Source organism: Homo sapiens, chromosome 16 (assembly GCF_000001405.40).
Source record: "Homo sapiens chromosome 16, GRCh38.p14 Primary Assembly".
Taxonomy (NCBI): Eukaryota; Metazoa; Chordata; class Mammalia; order Primates; family Hominidae; genus Homo; species Homo sapiens.
In genome coordinates this window covers 3,263,298-3,281,698 of record NC_000016.10, presented here as the reverse complement: position 1 = coordinate 3,281,698, position 18,401 = coordinate 3,263,298, and the positions used below count along the sequence as shown (strand labels likewise).

Below are 18,401 nucleotides of genomic sequence, written 5' to 3'. Positions count from 1 at the left end.
TATTTCAAGAGACATAGATTCTAGACTCATAACCAATTGCAGAAGACTCTAGCCTCAAAACCACTTTTCTCTGACATTTACTATGTAATCTCAGGCAACTTATGTAATCTCACTAAACCCCAAACTTCAGTTTCCTCATTTGTTTTGAGGGACTACTATACGCACCTCACCTCATATCACTGGGTTAGGATGAAATGAGCGGAGCTACACAGGATGCTTAGAACAGTACCTGGCACATAGTATGAATCCGATAAATAGTAGCTGTTACGCATGCACAGCAAGTTCCTGAATGTGTGCCTTATCTCAAAAAAGAAAAGCCACTCAGATTATTATTGCAGAATCTGTGGCATGGGAATGTTTGCAGAACTACACATACCTTGAGATAGGGAGAATGAGGGATTAATCATTTTCTATCTAAGGTCCTTTTGATTTTATGCTATTTATAGGTACTTAAAAGTAGATGAATTTAGGCTAGGTGCGCTGGCTCACGCCTGTAATCCCAGCACTTTGGGAAGCCAAGATAGGCGGATCACGAGGTCAGGAGATCGAGATCATCTCCTGGTTAACACGGTGAAACCTCGTCTCTACTAAAAATACAAAAAAATTAGCCGGGCATGGTGGCGCACGCCCGTATTTCCAGCTACTGGGGAGGCTAAGGCAGGAGAATCACTTGAACCTGGGAGGCAGAGGTTGCAGTGAACTGAGATTGTGCCACTGCACTCCAGCCTGGGCGACAGCAAGACTGCATCTCAAAAAATAGCAATAATAATTTAATTTTTTAAAAAAAGATGAACTTTCAGGGTTATTCAAAATCAGTGGTGGTAGTAGTCCTCCTCCAATTCTTTGTGATCTGCCAGTATGTGGAAAACAGACTAGCTGGTATTAGACTAGGAGTGGTGTTAACAGGCCAGCAGATTTGTAGGGGTTTTTTGTTGTTTTTTCGAGATGGAGTCTCGCTCTATCGCCCCGGCTGGAGTGCAGTGGTGGGATCTCAGCTCACTGCAACCTCCGCCTCCCAGGTTCAAGCGATTCTCATGCCTCAGCCTCCCGAGTAGCTGGGATTATAGGCACCACGCACCACACCCGGCTAATTTTTGTATTTTTAGTAGAGACAGAGTTTTGCCATGTTGGCCAGGCTGCTCTTGAACTCCTGACCTCAGGTGATCCGCCCACCTTGGCCTCCCAAAGTGCTGGGATTACAGGCGTGAGCCACTGCACCCGGCCAGGGCCAGGGTTCTTAAGCTGCCTCCATGTCTGGAGCAGTGCTATCCAATAGAACTTTCTGTGATGGTAGCCAATGGGCACTTAAAATGGAGTTAGTCTTGCCAAGTATTACCATACTGGCCAATGCAGTTCCAGAGGATCCATGGATGGGTTTGGAGATTTTTGTAAACCTTTTGATACTGTATGCAAAATTGGATGTGTGTGTGTGTGTGTGTGTGTGTGTGTGTGTGTGTGTGTGTGTGTATCTGTATGTTCTAGTAAGTGGGTTCATAGCTTTCATCAAGTTCTAAAAACCGCCAAAAAGACTAAGAACTGCTACTTTAGGGCTTTGGTGAAAAGTAAGTAGTGAAGAGAAGTAAGCGCCTTTGAAACCAGTACAGATTCTACTTTCTTAACACTGTAAGTCCTCAATGTCCTAGATAGGTTGGAAACTGTTATCTTAAGTGAAAGCACATTTTGTTATAAGGTTGATGACAAAAATAAATTAGTTTCATTATATGTCTTTTCCCTTTAAGTCCCAGTTTCCAAGACCCTATCAATGATGTTAAGTGAGGACTTACCGTATTAGTGATGTTAAGTGAGGACTTAACTGTGTTTTCTCATCCTCAGCTGCAGGTGACTTCGTGACTGTTGCAGAGAAAAATAAATTTGAATCTTCGACAAAGAACCCTTACCACTCCTGGTTTTAGGTCTCATGGGTACTAGACTCTGTCTCTGGGACTTCTTTCATTCCCTAACTAGCTCTTACAGATTCCTTTGTACTCAAGGGGCCAGTTATCTGTGCCTGGTTTTCAAAGTGACATTTGGTGAAATCTACAGTGTTAAGACTTTCAAGACTAGGCCACGTACTGTGGCTCACGCCTGTAATCCCAGCACTTTGGGAGGCTGAGGTGGAAGAATCACTTGAGGCCAGGATTTTGAGACCAGCCTGGGCAACATGGCAAGACCTCGTCTCTACAGAAAAAAAATTTTAAAAATTAACTGGTTGTGGTGACATGCAACTGTAGCCCCACCTATTAGGGATGCTGAGGCAGGAGGATTGCTTCAGCCCAGGAGTTTTGAGACCAGCCTGGGCAACATAGCCGTCATTTTAAATCGATGCTTTTCCTGTCTTTCATCTTAGGGTACATTCAGCCTCCGGGAGCTTCTGCCACTCTAAGCCTTTGCTACTTGCCACTCCCCCCAGCTTTGGTCTCTCCCCTCGTTTACTTGACTACAGCATTCCTTTGATCTATGACTTAGGGTTTTCTTTTTTTCTGAGACAGAGCCTTGCTCTGTCGCCCAGGCTGGAGTACAGTGGCGCAGTCAAGGCTCACTGCAGCCTCTGCCCAAGTTCCAGCGATTCTCCTGCCTCAGCCTCCCGGGTAGCTGGGATTACAGGCACACGCCACCATGCCTGGCTAATTTTTGTATTTTTAGTAGAGATGGAGTTTTGCCATGTCGGCCAGGCTGGTCTTGAACTCCTGACCTCAGGTGATCCACCCGCCTCGGCCTCCCAAAGCGCTGGATTTAGGGTTTTCTTTTACCTGTACCACATGCTCTTTGATCCTACTCCTAGCTTTGAAATCCAATCATAAACAAAATAGCAAATTTAAATGGCATTTCATTTGAAATGCATTTTATTTTTATTAATATGGAATATATTACCTTTCCTCATGAAAAGATAAAATGAGACATTTTACGCCACTTATATTTTGATTAAATGTTCTGGAGTTTAAATTTTCCTTTGGACTAACATTAACCAAACTGTCTTACTAATATTGTTTGATAATGTTAATATTTAGACATATTCCTCTATTTGCATATTAGATCACTATTTACCAACCTATTTTTTTTTTCAGACCAGTAAACTGTCAAGATGAGGAGGGAGAGGAAAGAACTTGGAAAGAGGGTGCAACCCAAACTTTTGTCAGTGAGGGGAGGCATGGCAGGACACAGGGGAGACCACACTGGAGACCATTTTACTAATTGTCTGGATTGATGGAAACACTCTTAGATATTTGTTTTGGTTAATATCAAGACAATCTACTTCTAGGCTTCAGCTAAAACAAACATGTAAAGATTGTTTTTGCTGGTTGCCAACCAAACCAGTTCAGATACTAATTCTTATTTGAAAGTCTCTTAACTGAAATTAATCCAGGACATAGTTTAACTACCACATTTACCTCTCTCTTCTCTTGGATTCAATAAGAGAATAGTTCTCAGTTTTAATATAGTCAGAATTTTAGGAAGATTAACTTGATATTTTGGTTCTTAGATAATTTTATTATCAAAATATTCAAAAAATGAGGTAAAACTAAATCAGTGCATTGACTAGCAGAATTAATTCACTCCTCTTCCCAGAGATTGGAGGAGAATAGCTTTGAATTGAGCACAAAAGGATCTTCCCCCTATTTTGTTTTTGTTCTAATGTTTGTTTATTATTTTTCCAGTATGCCTTTCGTACTCCTAGATTTTGTTCTAATGTTGAAAAACTGCCTGTTATGCTGGGCACAGTGGCTCACACCTGTAATCCTAGCACTTTGGGAGGCCGAGGCAAGAGGATTGCTTGAGCCAGGAGTTCAAGACCAGCCTGGGCAACAGAGAGAGCCCTTCTCTCTACAGAGTTTTTTTTTTTAATTATCAGGGCATGGTAGCACATGCCTGTGGTCCCAGCTACTCCAGAGGCTAAGGTGGGAGGATCCCTTGAGCCTGGGAGGTCAAGACTGCAGTGAGTTGAGATTGTGCCACTGCAGTCCAGCCTGGGAGACACTGCAAGACCCTGTCTCAAAAAAAGCCAGCTGCCTGTTAGAGGCTCCAGGTGAAATAATCCTAATTGAGAAGGAAATAAATATGGAGAGGCCATCTGTCCTGGAAATCGGCTTGAACTCAGGAAAAATCAGTGTGACCCAGACTATCATGTTCCCTGTATTTCTTATGACCAGTATATCTAGTCCCAAACCCTGACCTGTACTTCCCACTGGAGCCTAGAGAAGAGCCATGGGTGCAGGAATAGCAGGATTCCAAAGGAAAGAAACAATGACTTGACTCCAGGAGAGGTGAGTGTTCACTGGAAAGAAACGGGAAGAAAGAAAAGAAAAATTCAGCCTTACTTGGAATAAAAGGCTTTGGGATTCTATTTAGCAGTTTCTGTTTTCTCTCTACTACTTTAATACAACTCTTATTTTCCCCCCTCTTTCTCCTTGGACAGGGTGATATCTGCAATTTCTTTTTCTTACAGGTTTTGAGATCAGGAGAGAAAATGCAGATTCTTCAAAGCTGAAGAAATGTCAGACTCTGCATCTATTGTTACTTCAGAGGAGAATAAAATTGAATCATCAATTTTACAAAAAAGACTACAAACATTTAGGAAATCAGTAGAGAAACACCCCAGATTTAGCAAAGCTTGTAGATGATCAGAACCTCTCTATAAGGAGAGAAACCTGAGAACAGAATGGGAAGGCGAACTCAGCTCTTAGCTTTTTCTTAGTGTTTATAAGCAATCAGCTCCCAAATCAGGGTGTTTTAACAACTGGGAAGCCATCCCATATTTTCCAGTTTGGGAGGCTTTTCCTAGCACTTCGGGAGGCATAGGCAGAAGGATCACTTGAGCCCAAGAGCACGGGACCAGCCTGGACAACATAGTGAGATCCCATTTCTACAAAAAAAACAAAAATTAGCCAGGCGTGGTGGCAAGTGCCTGTGGTCCTAGCTGCTTGGGAGGCTGAGGTGGGAGGACTGCATGAGTCCAGGAGATTGAGGCTACAGTGAGCCATAATCGCACCAGTGCATTCCAGCCTGATACCCTAGAAGCTAATACTATGACACTGTGGTTCTGAAAAAAGAAAAGCTTTGTATTGCAAGTCGACTCACAAGGAGACAGGAATATCAAGCTCAAGGCTGTCTCCCCGTGTTGGCTTTAAGGCAGTTATTTTTATTAGAAAAGGTTCAGGCGGTGGATTCTGAGATTAGTAGGTGATTATTAGTGGAAGGAAAGGGGAGATGTGGAAAGTCCTTGGGCTTTCGCAGTTACCTCTTCAAGCTACTTAATGGGTCTCATGCAAATTCAGGGACAGCATGAAACCTGTGTTGAAAATTCAGGCTGTGATGTCAGCAAGCTCATTCTGTGCAGACTCCAGTCAGCGTTATTGGTTCCAACAGATTTCTGCTTGTTCTTCTTTTATCTTATAGGGAGGGAGTTTCAGCATTTCTTCAGCATTTCAGCAAGTTGTTTTTTTTTTTTTTTTTTTTTTTTTTTTTTGAGTAGGAGTTTCGCTGCAACGCCCAGGCTGGAGTGCAATAGCCTGATCTCGGCTCACTGCAACTTCCGATTCCCGGGTTCAAGTGATTTTCCTGCCTCAGCCTCCCAAGCAGCTGGGACTACAGGTGCCCACCAACCTGCCAGGCCTCGAACTCCTGACCTCATGTAATCCACCCACTTCAGTGGGTCAATCCCTCAAAGTGCTGGGATTACAGGTGTGAGCCACTGCACCTGGCCAGCGAGTTGTTTCTTATCTGCCATCCTGCAGACTCAAGAATTTCTGTTAGTTACTGATTTCTTTAACTCTTTGGGGCACAGTTTCAGTAGCCACACATTTTTTAAGGCTCCTAGAAAATTAAAATAGCACAAAAATTGTAGTATATTTTAAATATCTGCATTTAAATAACATTTTCACTCAACACAAGACCACAACTGGATATTTTATTGGTGATAACTTCAAAAATCTAAAACTTAAGACTTTTAATAAAGATGAAACCATACTAAATGGCCCTACTTTGTACTCTTTTCCTTTTTTGTAGAGACAGAGCCTTGCTATGTTGCCCAGGTTTGTCTTGAACTCCTGGGCTCATGCGATCCTCCCACCTTGTCCTCCCAAACTGCTGGGATTAAAGACGTGAGCCACCGCACCTCGCTCCTACTTGGTATTTTATGGTAACTCTTCAGCCATCGCTCCCCAACTAGGACCTCTTTTTAAGAGGAAGGGAGGCTGAAGGTCAGCAGCAAAGGACTAGAGTCCCCTCACCTTGGTCAGTGAATGGGAGGGACACACTTCCACTACCTTGTCTCCTGGGTTTTATTTTTGTTTTAATAATTCTTAACTTTTAAAAACTTCACAAATCTCTAACAGCCAAATCTTCTGGGTTTTAAACATGGTCACAGATTTTTTTTTGCCACTCATCCCATCAAGAAGTGGGGCATCTGTCCCTCTGCCTTGTATCTGGGCAGCTTGTGACTGCTACCAATGAAATACAATGAAATACAGATGTGGTGTGACCTCCAGGGTGAGGTCATAAAAGGCCTTGCAACCTCTATCTTGTTTGCTAGGAGAACTTGCACTTGGAGCTAGTGTAAGAAGTCTGGTTACCCTGAGAGCACCATGCTGGAGTGGCTGCACATAGCTCTCTAGTGGAGAGTCCAGAGGTGCTTTTGCTTCTTGTAAAATAGAAACAAAGTCAAACTAATAGACACTGCCATTGATTAGTTGTGGAAGGTGGTCATATAGGTATTTGTTAGGTTTTGTGTATTTGAACTGAGGCAGAATAGGGTCTGGAGGCAGGGAACTGAAGGCCAGTTCACCTTGACTTCCTAGAACTAAATCGAAAGAAAAACCCCAACTTTCCACGCATAAGTAACAAAAGGACCAGAGGCTACTCCCTTTGCCAATGCCCACCTTTTCTGAGGGGCAGATGGGAAATTGAAGGTACCTCTGACTGGCTGCTTTTTGCAATCAGACGTTTGCACAGGAGTGTAACTTTGTAACTTCACTTCAGCCTCTGATTGGTTGCAACCAATCAGACTGACTGAGGTTGGTTCATTTACATGGGGTGAACACCAAGTGGCCAATGGGAAACCTCTAGGGGGTGTTTAAGCTGCTGCTTGGCCGGCTCCCACACTGTGGCATGTACTTTCAATAAATCTCTGCTTTTGCTGCTTCATTCTTACCTTGCTTTGCTGTGCGTTTTGTCCAGTTCTTTGTTCAAAATGCCAAGAACCTGGACAATTTGCATCAAGACCCTCTACCGGTAACAGAACCGTTTCATTTCAAATAAAGACCAAGGAAAGGGGCATAATTAGCAATGTTATCTCTGGCTGTTGGTTTGAAGACTCTGACTCCAGCCTCAGAAACAAACCTTTTCCAGAAAGGGGAGGAAGATGGTTGTAGGTTCTGCTGCAGGGAAGTGTTCTCCAGCCATTTGAGCCACCTCAGCTGAAGCTCCAGCCACTGTGGAACGAGATGAGTTGTGCCTCTGGGTCTTGCTTGAAATCTGACCACCAAGTTGTGAGCATAATAAAGGGGCTGCTGTTTTACACTATTAAGTTTTGGGGTGTTTTTCATGCAACAATAGATAACCGGAACAATAGGCATACATGAATAAATAAACCTTGTAGAAGATTCAATGAATACAGATGTATACAAACAAAATGAAGGTCTGGGCACAGTGGTTCACACCTGTAATCCCAGCACTTCGGGAGGCCAAGGCGGGGAGGATCACTTGAGGTCAGGAGTTCAAGACCAGCCTGGCCAACATGGTGAAACCCCATCTCTACTAAAACTACCAAAATTAGCTGAGCGTGGTGGCGGGCGCCTGTAATCCCAGCTACTTGGTAGGTTGAGGTAGGAGAATCGCTTGAACCTAGGAAGTGAAGGTTGCAGTGAGCTGAGATCATGCCACTGCACTCCAGCCTGGGCAACAGAGCGAGACTGTCTCAAAAAAAAAAAAAACTGAGGGACTTTTCCATCACCTCCCACCTAATGTCTCCATGCTCTACAGGTTTACCTGGCTGTGCATCCTCCCAGTCTCCTGAGGAACTTCATGTACCTATATGGGCTAATTATATGTATACACCATGCTATACATATTTTCCAGATCTTCTTTTTAAATATTAGCAGTGTGCCTTTGACATCTATCTAGGTCCAGATGAATAGGCCATTGCCACTCTTAACAACTGTAGAGCATGCATACTATGGATATACCACAGCTGTACTGACTGTCTCCCCATTTAGATTGTCTCCAGCTGTTTCCTTTAACAACCAATACTCCAATGAACATCTCAGACGTGCATATTTGGGTACATTGGATATAGTCTTAGAAATGGAATCACTGAAGCAAAAGCCTTGTGCATTTTTTTTTTTTTTTTGAGATATGTTCTCCCTCTGTCACCCAGGCTGGAGTGCAGTGGCATAATCTTGGCTCACTGCATCCTTGACCTCCTGGGCTCAAGCAGTCCTCCCACTTCACCCTTCAGAGTAGCTGGGACCACAGGCATGTGCCACCCAATTTTTTATTTCTTGTAGCAACGAGGTCTCACTTTGTTGGTCAGGCTGGTCTGAAACTCCTGGGCTGAAGTGATCTGCTCACCTCGGCCTCCCAAAGTACTGTGATTACAGGCATGAGCCACCGTGCCTGGCCTAGGCTTGTGCATTTTTAATTTTGAAAACTTGCAGCAAATCACCTTCCAAAACAGCTTCACAGGCCAGGAGCAGTGGCTGACACCTGTAATCCTAGCACTTTGGGAGGCCGAGGCGGGCGGATCACCTAAAGTCAGGGGTTTGACACCAGCCTGGCCAACGCGGTGAAACCCCGTCTCTACTAAAAATACAAAAATTAGCCGGGCATGGTGGCGGGTGCCTGTAATCCCAGCTACTCAGGAGGCTGACGTGGGAGAATCGCTTGAACCTCAGAGGTGGAGGTTGCAGGGAGCCGAGATTGCATCACTGCATTCCAGCCTGGGTAAAAGAGTGAGACTCCATCACAAAAAAAAAAAAAAAAAAAAAAAAGCTTCACAAATTTAACTCGTAACCTGAGGTGTGAAAGTGCTTCTATGTCTGCATGCTCATTAAAGTTGGCTGTGGCAATCATATTAATTTGTGATAATATAGTGGGTGAAAAATTATGTCCCCTCAGCCGGGTGTGGTGGCTTAGGGCCTGTAATCCCAGCACTTTTGGAAGGCCAAGGCAGGAGGACTGCTTGAGCCCAGGAGTTCTAAACCAGCCTGGGTAACATAACAAGACTCTGCCGCTATTTAAAAAAAAATAATATCCCCTTGTTGCCTGTCATGTTTCTGATTACTTGGAGATTGGGCATCTTTTCACGTGGTACTTTGTATTTCTTCTCTGAGTTGCCTTTTTTTTTTTTTTTTTTGAGATGGAGTCTCAGTCTATTGCCCAGGCTGTAGTGCGTGTCAGGATCTCAGCTCACTGCAATCTCCGCCTCCTGGGTTCAAGCAATTCTTCTGCCTCAGCCTCGCGAGTAGCTGAGACTACAGGCACGTGCCACCATGCCTGGCTAATTTTTTGTAGTCTGTAGAGACAGGGTTTCACTGTGTTAGCCAGGATGGTCTCGATCTCCTGACCTCGTGATCCACCCGCCTCAGCCTCCCAAAGTGCTGGGATTACAGGTGTGAGCCACCACGCCCGGCCGTGAGTTGCCTATTTAAGCCTTTGAGCATTAAAAAAATTATAGTGCTTTAACATTCCAGGTATTATCGTATGTACAAATATTTTCTCTGTCACCTTTTTTATTTTTATTTTTTAAGACAGGGTTTTGCTCCATCACCCAGACTGGAGTGCAGTGGTGCAATCACAGCTCACTGCAGCCTTGACCTCCCAGGCTCAAGCGATCTTTCCAACTTAGCCTCTTGAGTAGCTGGGACCACAGGCGCACACCACCATGGCCAGTTAATTTTGTGAGGGAGGGTAGAGATGGGGTCTGCCTACATTGTGGAGACTCAAACCCCTAGGCTCAAGCAATCCTCCCACCTTGGCCTCCCAAAGTGCAGGGATTACAGGCATGAGCCACTGCATCCAGCCTTTTAACCATATTCATGGCTGTTTTTGTCATACTGAAGTTTTCTAATTTTTCTATTTACCTGAATTTTTTAACTTTTTCAGTTTTTTTATCTTGGTTAGAAAGATCTGTCAGCCCCCGCCCGGCCAGCCGCCCCGTCCGGGAGGGAGGTGGGGGGTCAGCCCCTGCCCGGCCAGCCGCCCCGTCCGGGAGAGAGGTGGGGGGTCAGCCCCTGCCCGGCCAGCCGCCCCGTCCGGGAGGGAGGTGGGGGGTGCCTCCGCCCGCCCAACCGCCCCGTCCGGGTGGTGGGGGGCCGCCTTTGCCCGGCCGCCCCTTCTGGGAAGTGAGGAGCCCCTTTGCCCAGCCACCACCCCGTCTGGGAGGGGTACCCAACAGCTCATTGAGAAGGGGCCATGATGACAATGGCGGTTTTGTGGAATAGAAAAGGGGGAAAGGTGGGGAAAAGATTGAGAAATCAGATGGTTGCTGTGTCTGTGTAGAAAAAAGTAGACATGGGAGACTTTTCATTTTGTTCTGTACTAAGAAAAATTCTTCTGCCTTGGGATACTGTTGATCTGTGACCTTACCCCCAACCCTGTGCTCTCTGAAACATGTGCTGTGTCCACTCAGGGTTAAATGGATTAAGGGCAGTGCAAGATGTGCTTTGTTAAACAGATGCTTGAAGGCAGCATGCTCGTTAAGAGTCATCACCACTCCCTAATCTCAAGTACCCAAGGACACAAACACTGCAGAAGGCCGCAGGGTCCTCTGCCTAGGAAAACCAGAGACCTTTGTTCACTTGTTTGTCTGCTGACCTTCCCTCCACTGTTGTCCTATGGCCCTGCCAAGTCCCCCTCTGCGAGAAACACCCAAGAATGATCAATAAAAAAATAAAAAATAAAAAAAAAGAAAGATCTTCCTCACTGCGAAATTTAAACAAATTTACAGATATTACACTTCGTGTTTCTTTAAATCATCTGGGCCAGGTGCGGTGGCTCATGGTTGTAATCCCAGCATTTTGGGAGGCCGAGGCGGGTGGATCACTCGAGGTCAGGAGTTCGAGACCAGTCTGGGCAACATGGTGAAAACCCATCTCCACTAAAAATACAAAAAATTAGCCGGGTGTGGTGGCACATGCCTGTAATCCCAGCTACTTGGGAGGCTGAGGCAGGAGAATCACTTGAACCTGGGAGGCAGAGGTTGCAATGAGCCCAGATCACACCATTGCACTCCAGCCTGGGAAACAAGAGCGACATTCCGTCTCAAAAAAAAAAAAAAATATATATATATATATATATATATATATATATATATATGGAGTTTATTTTTTATATATGTCAGGCAGAAGTCTATGTTTTCCAGCTCAACTGTCAACAGTCCCAAAACTATTTATAAGTTGGGCCACCTTTTCCCCTTGGGTTTTAAATACCATCTTTTGCATATACACACGTCTTACGGAATCTTGTTTCCATTTACCTTATATCCATTCTTGTAAAAACATATTACTGTTCTAATTTACTGTATTTTCACAGCTTGTTGTTATATCTGTTACAATACATCTCACACCACTGTATTTTTTTCACAATTTTTTTGGCTATGAATTTTAAAAATCAACTTGTCAAAGCCCATTCTTAAACATCTTGCAGCCTGGTGCGGTGGCTGATGCCTGTAATCCCAGCACTTTGGGAGGGTGAGGTGGGCAGAACAGCCTGGCCAACATGGCGAAACCTCATCTCTACTAAAAATACAAAAATTAGCTGGGCATGGTGGGGCGCACCTGTAATCCCAGCTACTCGGGAGGCTGAGGCAGGAGAATCACTTGAACCTGGGAGGCAGAGGTTGCAGTGACCTGAGATCACGCCACTGCACTCCAGCCTGGGCAACAGTGAGACCCAGTCTGAAAAAAAAAAGAAAGTCTTGTTATGGCTGGGCATGGTGGCTCACACTTGTAATGCCAGCATTTTGAGAGGCCAAGGCAGGAAGATCGCATGAGCTTAGAAGTTTGAGACCAGCTCAGGCAACATAGCAAGATCACATTTTTTTAAAAATGTAAAAAAAAAATCTCGTTACAATTTCAATTGGGTTTGCTTATAATTTGTTGATTAATTTAGGAATGCATGATATATTTGTAATATTAACTCTTCCATCCACGACTGTGGTGTATTTCTTCAATGATCTGGGACTTTTAAAATTCTGTAATCCTATATACTTTTCTTCTTATAGGTCTTGCAAATTTCTTATCATGTCTGGTTATGGGTTTTGCTACTATTGTGCATGGGATTCTTTGTTTCAAATTTTGTTTCCTAATTACTCAGATTAATTTTCCAACACCTACCACCAACTCTTTCAAGGCAGCATGTAGGGGTTAGTGGTAGCAACTCTTCTCTTGGAGCCAGTCTTAGTTGTCTGTATAAAGAAACCATTCCATGTTCCAGGACAGACTTTGCTGCCGTTGGGATGAATGGAGAGCAACATCCCGGTTGTCCGTCATGGGTGACAGCCTTCCTTCAGGTGACTTTGGCCTGTGATTTTCCATCCTGTTTGGGCTTCAAGTTATCCGAAAGGAATCATATTGAAATGGGTGTTTCTGAATTTCCGTGTCCTCATGTTTTTAGTTCTTCACAGCCTGCTTTAAAAATTATTCATTCTTTTTTTTTTCTTTTTGACAGAGTCTCGCTCTGTTGCCCAGGCTGGAGTGCAATGGTGCGATCTCGGCTCACTGCAACCTCCACCTCCCGGCTTCAATCGATCCTCCCGCCTCAGCCTACTTAGTAGCTGGGGTTACAGGCGCACGCTACCATGCCCGGCTAATTTTTGTATTTTTAGTAGAAATGGAGTTTCACCATGTTGGTCAGGCTGGTCTTGAACTCCTGATCTCGTGATCCACCTGCCTCGGCCTCTCAAAGTGCTGGGATTAAAGGCGTGAGCCACCGCGCCCAGCCACATTATTCATTCTTGCTTCTGCCTCTCCCTTTATCTTTCAGATATTAGGTGTAGTCAATAGCACTTAACTTTCTTCCAAATACAGTTAGGTGGACAGAATTCTAGTCCCAGCTCTGCACTGATGTGTAGAACTCAAGTCAGTCAGTTCCCCTGGAAGCCTGTGTCCTCCTCTGTAACATGACGGGGTTGGCTTGATGACTGCTAAGCTACCAGATGCCAAGAGACAGCAAAGCCAAAGGAAAGGCCTTGAGCTCTGCAGACACAGACCTTGAGACTGAATGTTGGCTACCTGACTCTTTGTAGTTGTGTAGCCTTGGGCAAGTCAGTGTGTACAAACTTCCTGTTTTCTGTGTTAAATTGAATATATCAACACCCACCTTGGACAGGCACAGTGGCTCCTGCCTATAATCCCAACACTTTGGGAGGCCAATGAGGGAGGATGGCTTGAACCCAAGTTTGAGATCAGCCTGGGAAACATAGTGAGACCCCGTCTCTACCAAAAATAACTTTTTTTGAATTAGGCGTTTTGTTTCAAAAATTTCAGAGAAAGGGACCTGTATCTAGAGTCTTATTTCAGGGGCAATCTTCCCACCTCAGCTTCCCAAGTAGCTAGGACCACAGGTATACATGATGGTGCATTCCTGTAGTGTCAGCTACTCGGGAGGCTGAAGTGGGACATTACTTGAGCTGGGGAGGTCAAAGCTGTAGGGAGCTGAGGCCAGGCACGGTGGCTCACGCCTGTAATCCCAGCACTTTGGGAGGCCGAGGTGGGCAGATCACAAGGTCAGGAGATCGAGACCATCCTGACTAACACGGTGAAACCCCGCCTCTACTAAAAATACAAAAATATGCTGGGCGTGGTGGCAGGCGCCTGTAGTCCCAGCTACTCAGGAGGCTGAGGCAGGAGAATGGTGTGAATCCGGGAGGCCCAGCTTGCAGTAAGCAGAGATCGTGCCACTGCACTCCAGCCTGGGTGACAGAGTGAGACTCCATCTCAAAAAAATAATAATAATAAATAATTAAATTTAAAAAGCTGTAGGGAGCTAAGCCATGATTGCAACACTGCACTCCAGTCTGGGTGATAGAGCGAGACCCTGTCCCCAAATAAATAAATAAACATACCCACCTCACATGAGGATAGTGAAGTCTAGGAAGAAACACCTATTACCTTGTATCCAGCATTGTTCTTGGTGCTTTGTGTGTATTAGCTCATTTAATCTTCACAACAACTCTAGAACCCCCATTTTACAGTTGATAGAAACAGGGACAAAGAGGGTAGGTATATCACTTGGCCAGCGTCACACCCTGCTATGAAGCACTCACATGAGGCAACGTAAAGCACACACAATACTTAGCACCTATAAACTGCATCAATTAAAGGTCATCCACTGCAGTTCCAAAGCTGTAATTTTTGGTATTTTGACATCCCCACTTCACAGACAGCCTTGGAAATATTTTCTGTGGTTTTTGAACTCCAGTTTTAGCTCTGACTTACACAGTCGTTTTCTCCTAACTACTTCCTGCAGCATTAAGAATTGTTTCCAGCTGCTGGTTTCTGCAGAGGATTGTCCTTGGAGCGTGGGGTGTCCACTGTGGTTCCAGCCGCAGCCCTGGTGCCCACACATGAAGATGCCCTCTACAGGACAGAAAGAGAAATACCACCTGATGTTGGCTGGGATATGGGCACTGTCTTTGTTCCAAAGAACCAAAGCTTTTCTTGGCAAATGGCCTGTCAGTCATTTCAGTTTATCTCAACTGCATTTTTAAAATTTCAGTTTCTGCTCTGGAGCTTCAGAGGAATTGAGACATGAGACAATTATGCCCTAAAGAACAGTCTGTCTGCATAAATGTTATGCCTGCAGTGTGTGTGTGTGTGTGTGTGTGTGTGTGTGTTTGGAGATAGGTCTGGGACGTGTTTCCTTCGGTACTGGCTCAAGGTTCCTTATTTGACTTGCTAATTTAAACTTATTCTACTTTGGAAACCTCGAATATTTTTTCTCTATGGGCAGAGTCTGCTTTTAAAAATCATTTGTTTAATCTTCTGCACCCCAGTGAAACAAAGTCTCAGCTAATAAATTTTTTAATTTTTCTGCTGTAAAAGTAATGGAGCAAAATAAGAAATTTCTCCTCTAACATTTAGCTTGCCATATTTTATTTTCCGTTACTATTTCACAATGAGCATATATTTGTGGACTATGTTTCATGAGTCATAAAACTTTAAAAATGCTCATTGAACGCCGGGCATACTGGTTCACGCCTGTAATCTGAGCACTTTGGGAGGCTGAGGCGGGCAGAACACAAGGTCAGAAGTTCGAGACCAGCCTGACCAACATGGTGAAACCCCATCTCTAACTAAAAATACAAAAATTAGCCGGGCGTGGTGGCGTGCGCTTGTAATCCCAGCTACTCAGGAGGCTGAGACAGAAAATTGCTTGAACCCGGGAGGCGGAGGTCGCAGTAAGCCCAGATCATGCCACTGCACTCCAGCCTGGGCAGCAGCGTGAGACTCCGTCTCAAAAAAATAATAATAAAATAAAAAAATAAAACGTATAGATGACATAGAGGGAAAAGGCCAACTTCTACCCCCAATTCTACTCTTGAAAGGTAGTCATATTTATTTCTTGCATTTCCCTCCAGATACTTAAATTTTAACATTTTTTTCTCTTATTTACAAACATGGGATCATGCTATCTGCACTGTAGTGCAAATGTGCTTTTTCCACTGAATAATACATAAACCATCTTTGCACATTAGCACACAGAAATTCACCGCACTGTTTTCAGTGGATGCAGTGTAGTCCAAGGAATGGATTCACCAAAACTTACTCAGCTATTCAGCCAGTGCCCTGGTGACAGACATTTAAGGGGTTTACAGTTTCTAACTAACTGGCAAGTGTGGCAGGCAGGGAAATGATCTAGGATGATTACCATCATTTGTGTAAGAAAGTGCCCCTGAGAACACCATGAAGGTGAATACAGCCTCGATATGCTTACCTGAAGACAGTAGTCTCGATGGGTAGGACTTAAATCCAATGTAGGAACTAGAAAAACAGACCATCTAGCTGGGTTTCCAAGCTTTTTTGTGGGCTGCAATACACTTGGATCAAAGGAAATCTTTCTTGAAGGTTAAATATGTAAAACAGTTAAAAAGTAGTGGCCGGTCTGGCATTAGTTGGGAGAGGGGGGAGGGGGTAGGAGGGAAGGAGGGAGGTCTATGCCTATGAAGCTCCTGAAATAAGAAACCTGGGCCGGGCGCGGTGGCTCACGCCTGTAATCCCAGCACTTTGGGAGGCCGAAGCGGGCGGATCACGAGGTCAGGAGAGCGAGACCATCCTGGCTAACATGGTGAAACCCCGTCTCTACTAAAAATACAAAAAATTAGCCGGGCGTGAAAATTAGCCGGGCGTGGTGGCGGGCGCCTGTAATCCCAGCTACTCGGAAGGCTGAGGCAGGAGACTGGCGTGAACTCGCGAGGCGGAGCTTGCAGTGAGCGGAGATGGCGCCACTGCACTCCAGCCTGGACGACAGAGCGAGACTCCGTCTCAAAAAAGAAGAAAGAAACCAGATGCATGTGCCTTCTTTGAGCCAAACCATTACCTCTCTGGCTCACAGCATGTTACTAGATTTGTTCAAAAGGAAAAAACAGAAGTTTCAGCAACCGTACTCTAGGGTTCTGAGGGGGCAGAGTTTGAGAATCCTTGCTCTAGCCCGCCTCTGCTGATTATAAGGGAGAAAACGGCAGTGCTGCTGTTAGGCTGATGTATCTGTTCCTTTCACAGCTTTGGTCATAACTGGTAATTACCATTTACTTGTTCTCAGCCTCCTTGGAACAGCGATCTTGCCTGACACGTGCACCCTCGCACGTGGCACAGTAAGTGGGACACATTAGGCACTCGGAAAATATTTGCTGTAAACATGAAAGAAGGGCGACAGGCTAATAAAGTGTGGAAGGGTTTTGGGGTCAGCACAGCCCCGGGACGTCCCATCCCCGTGGGCCGCGGGCCGCCCGGAATACGACGACTCCACTTGCCGGCGCTGCTCCCGGGATACCAGCGACAACAGCGGCTCAGTCCCGGCAAACGGCGCGTGGCCCCTCCGGCGAAAAGCAGCTATAGGCTGTTGCGGCTGCCAATCAGACCAACAGAGCCGCGACTCGGAGACCTCTGGGAGACGTGGGCCCCCGCTAATCCGCCCTCCAATTGGCTCGCGTGCTCCCGGGGCGCTCTGGGAGATGTGTTTCTGGGAGTGTTCCGCGCATGTGCATGCGTGAGGGCGGGGCGTCGGGGTCGGGCTGGAGTGTCTGTCGCGCCTTATGTGGGCCCCTCGGCAGAAGACGCACTTTCGGCAGAAGCCGCACTTTTGGCAGAAGCCGCCCTGGGTCCTTTCCCTCCCGCAGGCAGGCCGGGACCCCGGCGGGAATTGCGTGCAGGTCGGGTCTCGCTTGACCCCAGCGCCTCCCCGCGTCCGGGCACACTGCGGACAGTTCCTTTTTATTCTCTACCGCTACTTCCTCTTTATCTTCTGCCGCTCTTTCCACACGTCTCCTCCCCCAGGCCGCTTCCCTTTGGGGCGCCGGGCCAGGGAGGGGCTGCCGGACCGGAGACCCCGGACTCGCGCCGGTCTCCGCTCGGGCGTGGGGTCCGTGGGGCGTCGGCGGGAGGGGTCCTGGAGGAGACGGCTGTGCCGGGGCGGGACCCCCTGTCCTCTTAACAGACGCGCCCCTGACAGTCGTGCCAGTCGCCGCCCTGGGCTTTGGGGACGTCCGAGGACGCAGCTGGCGGTTCCTCCCGCGGTTCCCGGCACTGTTACTTCCCCGAATTCCCAGAACAACCCATTTGATAGGAAATGGAAACTGAGAAAAATCGAGTAATTTACTCACGTCACACGGCCACCAGATATTTGAATCTCGTATTTCCCACCACTTCGTGGCTTCCAGGCTCATAAACAAGAAGTTGCAAAACAGGGTGAGGCGTGGGAATGACAGCAGCACGGGGCGGGGAGTGGAAGGGCGGAGCACCTTAGAGGGCAGGATTCAGCAAACGGAACCTCAAAGGAAACAGTGTCAGTGCTGCTGCTTAGTTGGTAAGAAAACAAAGGGCCGGGCGCGGTGGCTCACGCCTGTAATCCCACCACTTTGGGAGGCCGAGGCGGTCGGATCGCGAGGTCAGGAGTTCGAGACCAGCCTGACCAATATGGTGAAACCCTGTCTCTACTAAAAAATACAAAAATTAGCCGGGCGTGGTGGCGCGCGCCTGTAGTCCCAGCTACTCAGGAGGCTGAGGCAGGAGAATCGCTTGAACCCCGGAGGCACATGTAGTGAGCTAAGATCGCGCCACTGCACTCCAGCATGGGCGACAGAGTGAGACTGCGTCTCAAAAAACAAACAAACAAAAAAAGGGAGTAGCTGCCTTCCAGACACAGTTTTGTTATTTTTCTGCCCCTTTCACTAGCCTGTCAGCCCTTTG

The 18,401-nt window shown here is 46.2% G+C and overlaps 1 long non-coding RNA gene across 1 annotated transcript, besides 4 other annotated features; it reads right to left on the bottom strand.

Annotated features, from left to right (window-relative positions):
- Window positions 1-14,131: 14,131 nt before the first annotated feature.
- Window positions 14,132-17,931, bottom strand: LINC00921 (long intergenic non-protein coding RNA 921). The gene is made up of 2 exons (NR_033904.1): window positions 15,931-17,931; window positions 14,132-14,573 (listed from the first exon to the last, which is right to left on the bottom strand). It is a non-coding gene; the product is annotated as a long intergenic non-protein coding RNA 921 (long non-coding RNA).
- Window positions 16,951-17,020: an enhancer, noted in NCBI's record as "active region_10318". NCBI's record gives its function as "activates an Ori minimal core promoter by ATAC-STARR-seq in GM12878 lymphoblastoid cells {active_cell/tissue: GM12878}" and the evidence as "EXISTENCE:reporter gene assay evidence [ECO:0000049][PMID:35858748]".
- Window positions 17,171-17,270: an enhancer, noted in NCBI's record as "active region_10317". NCBI's record gives its function as "activates an Ori minimal core promoter by ATAC-STARR-seq in GM12878 lymphoblastoid cells {active_cell/tissue: GM12878}" and the evidence as "EXISTENCE:reporter gene assay evidence [ECO:0000049][PMID:35858748]".
- Window positions 17,511-17,690: a silencer, noted in NCBI's record as "silent region_7130". NCBI's record gives its function as "represses an Ori minimal core promoter by ATAC-STARR-seq in GM12878 lymphoblastoid cells {active_cell/tissue: GM12878}" and the evidence as "EXISTENCE:reporter gene assay evidence [ECO:0000049][PMID:35858748]".
- Window positions 17,711-17,870: an enhancer, noted in NCBI's record as "active region_10316". NCBI's record gives its function as "activates an Ori minimal core promoter by ATAC-STARR-seq in GM12878 lymphoblastoid cells {active_cell/tissue: GM12878}" and the evidence as "EXISTENCE:reporter gene assay evidence [ECO:0000049][PMID:35858748]".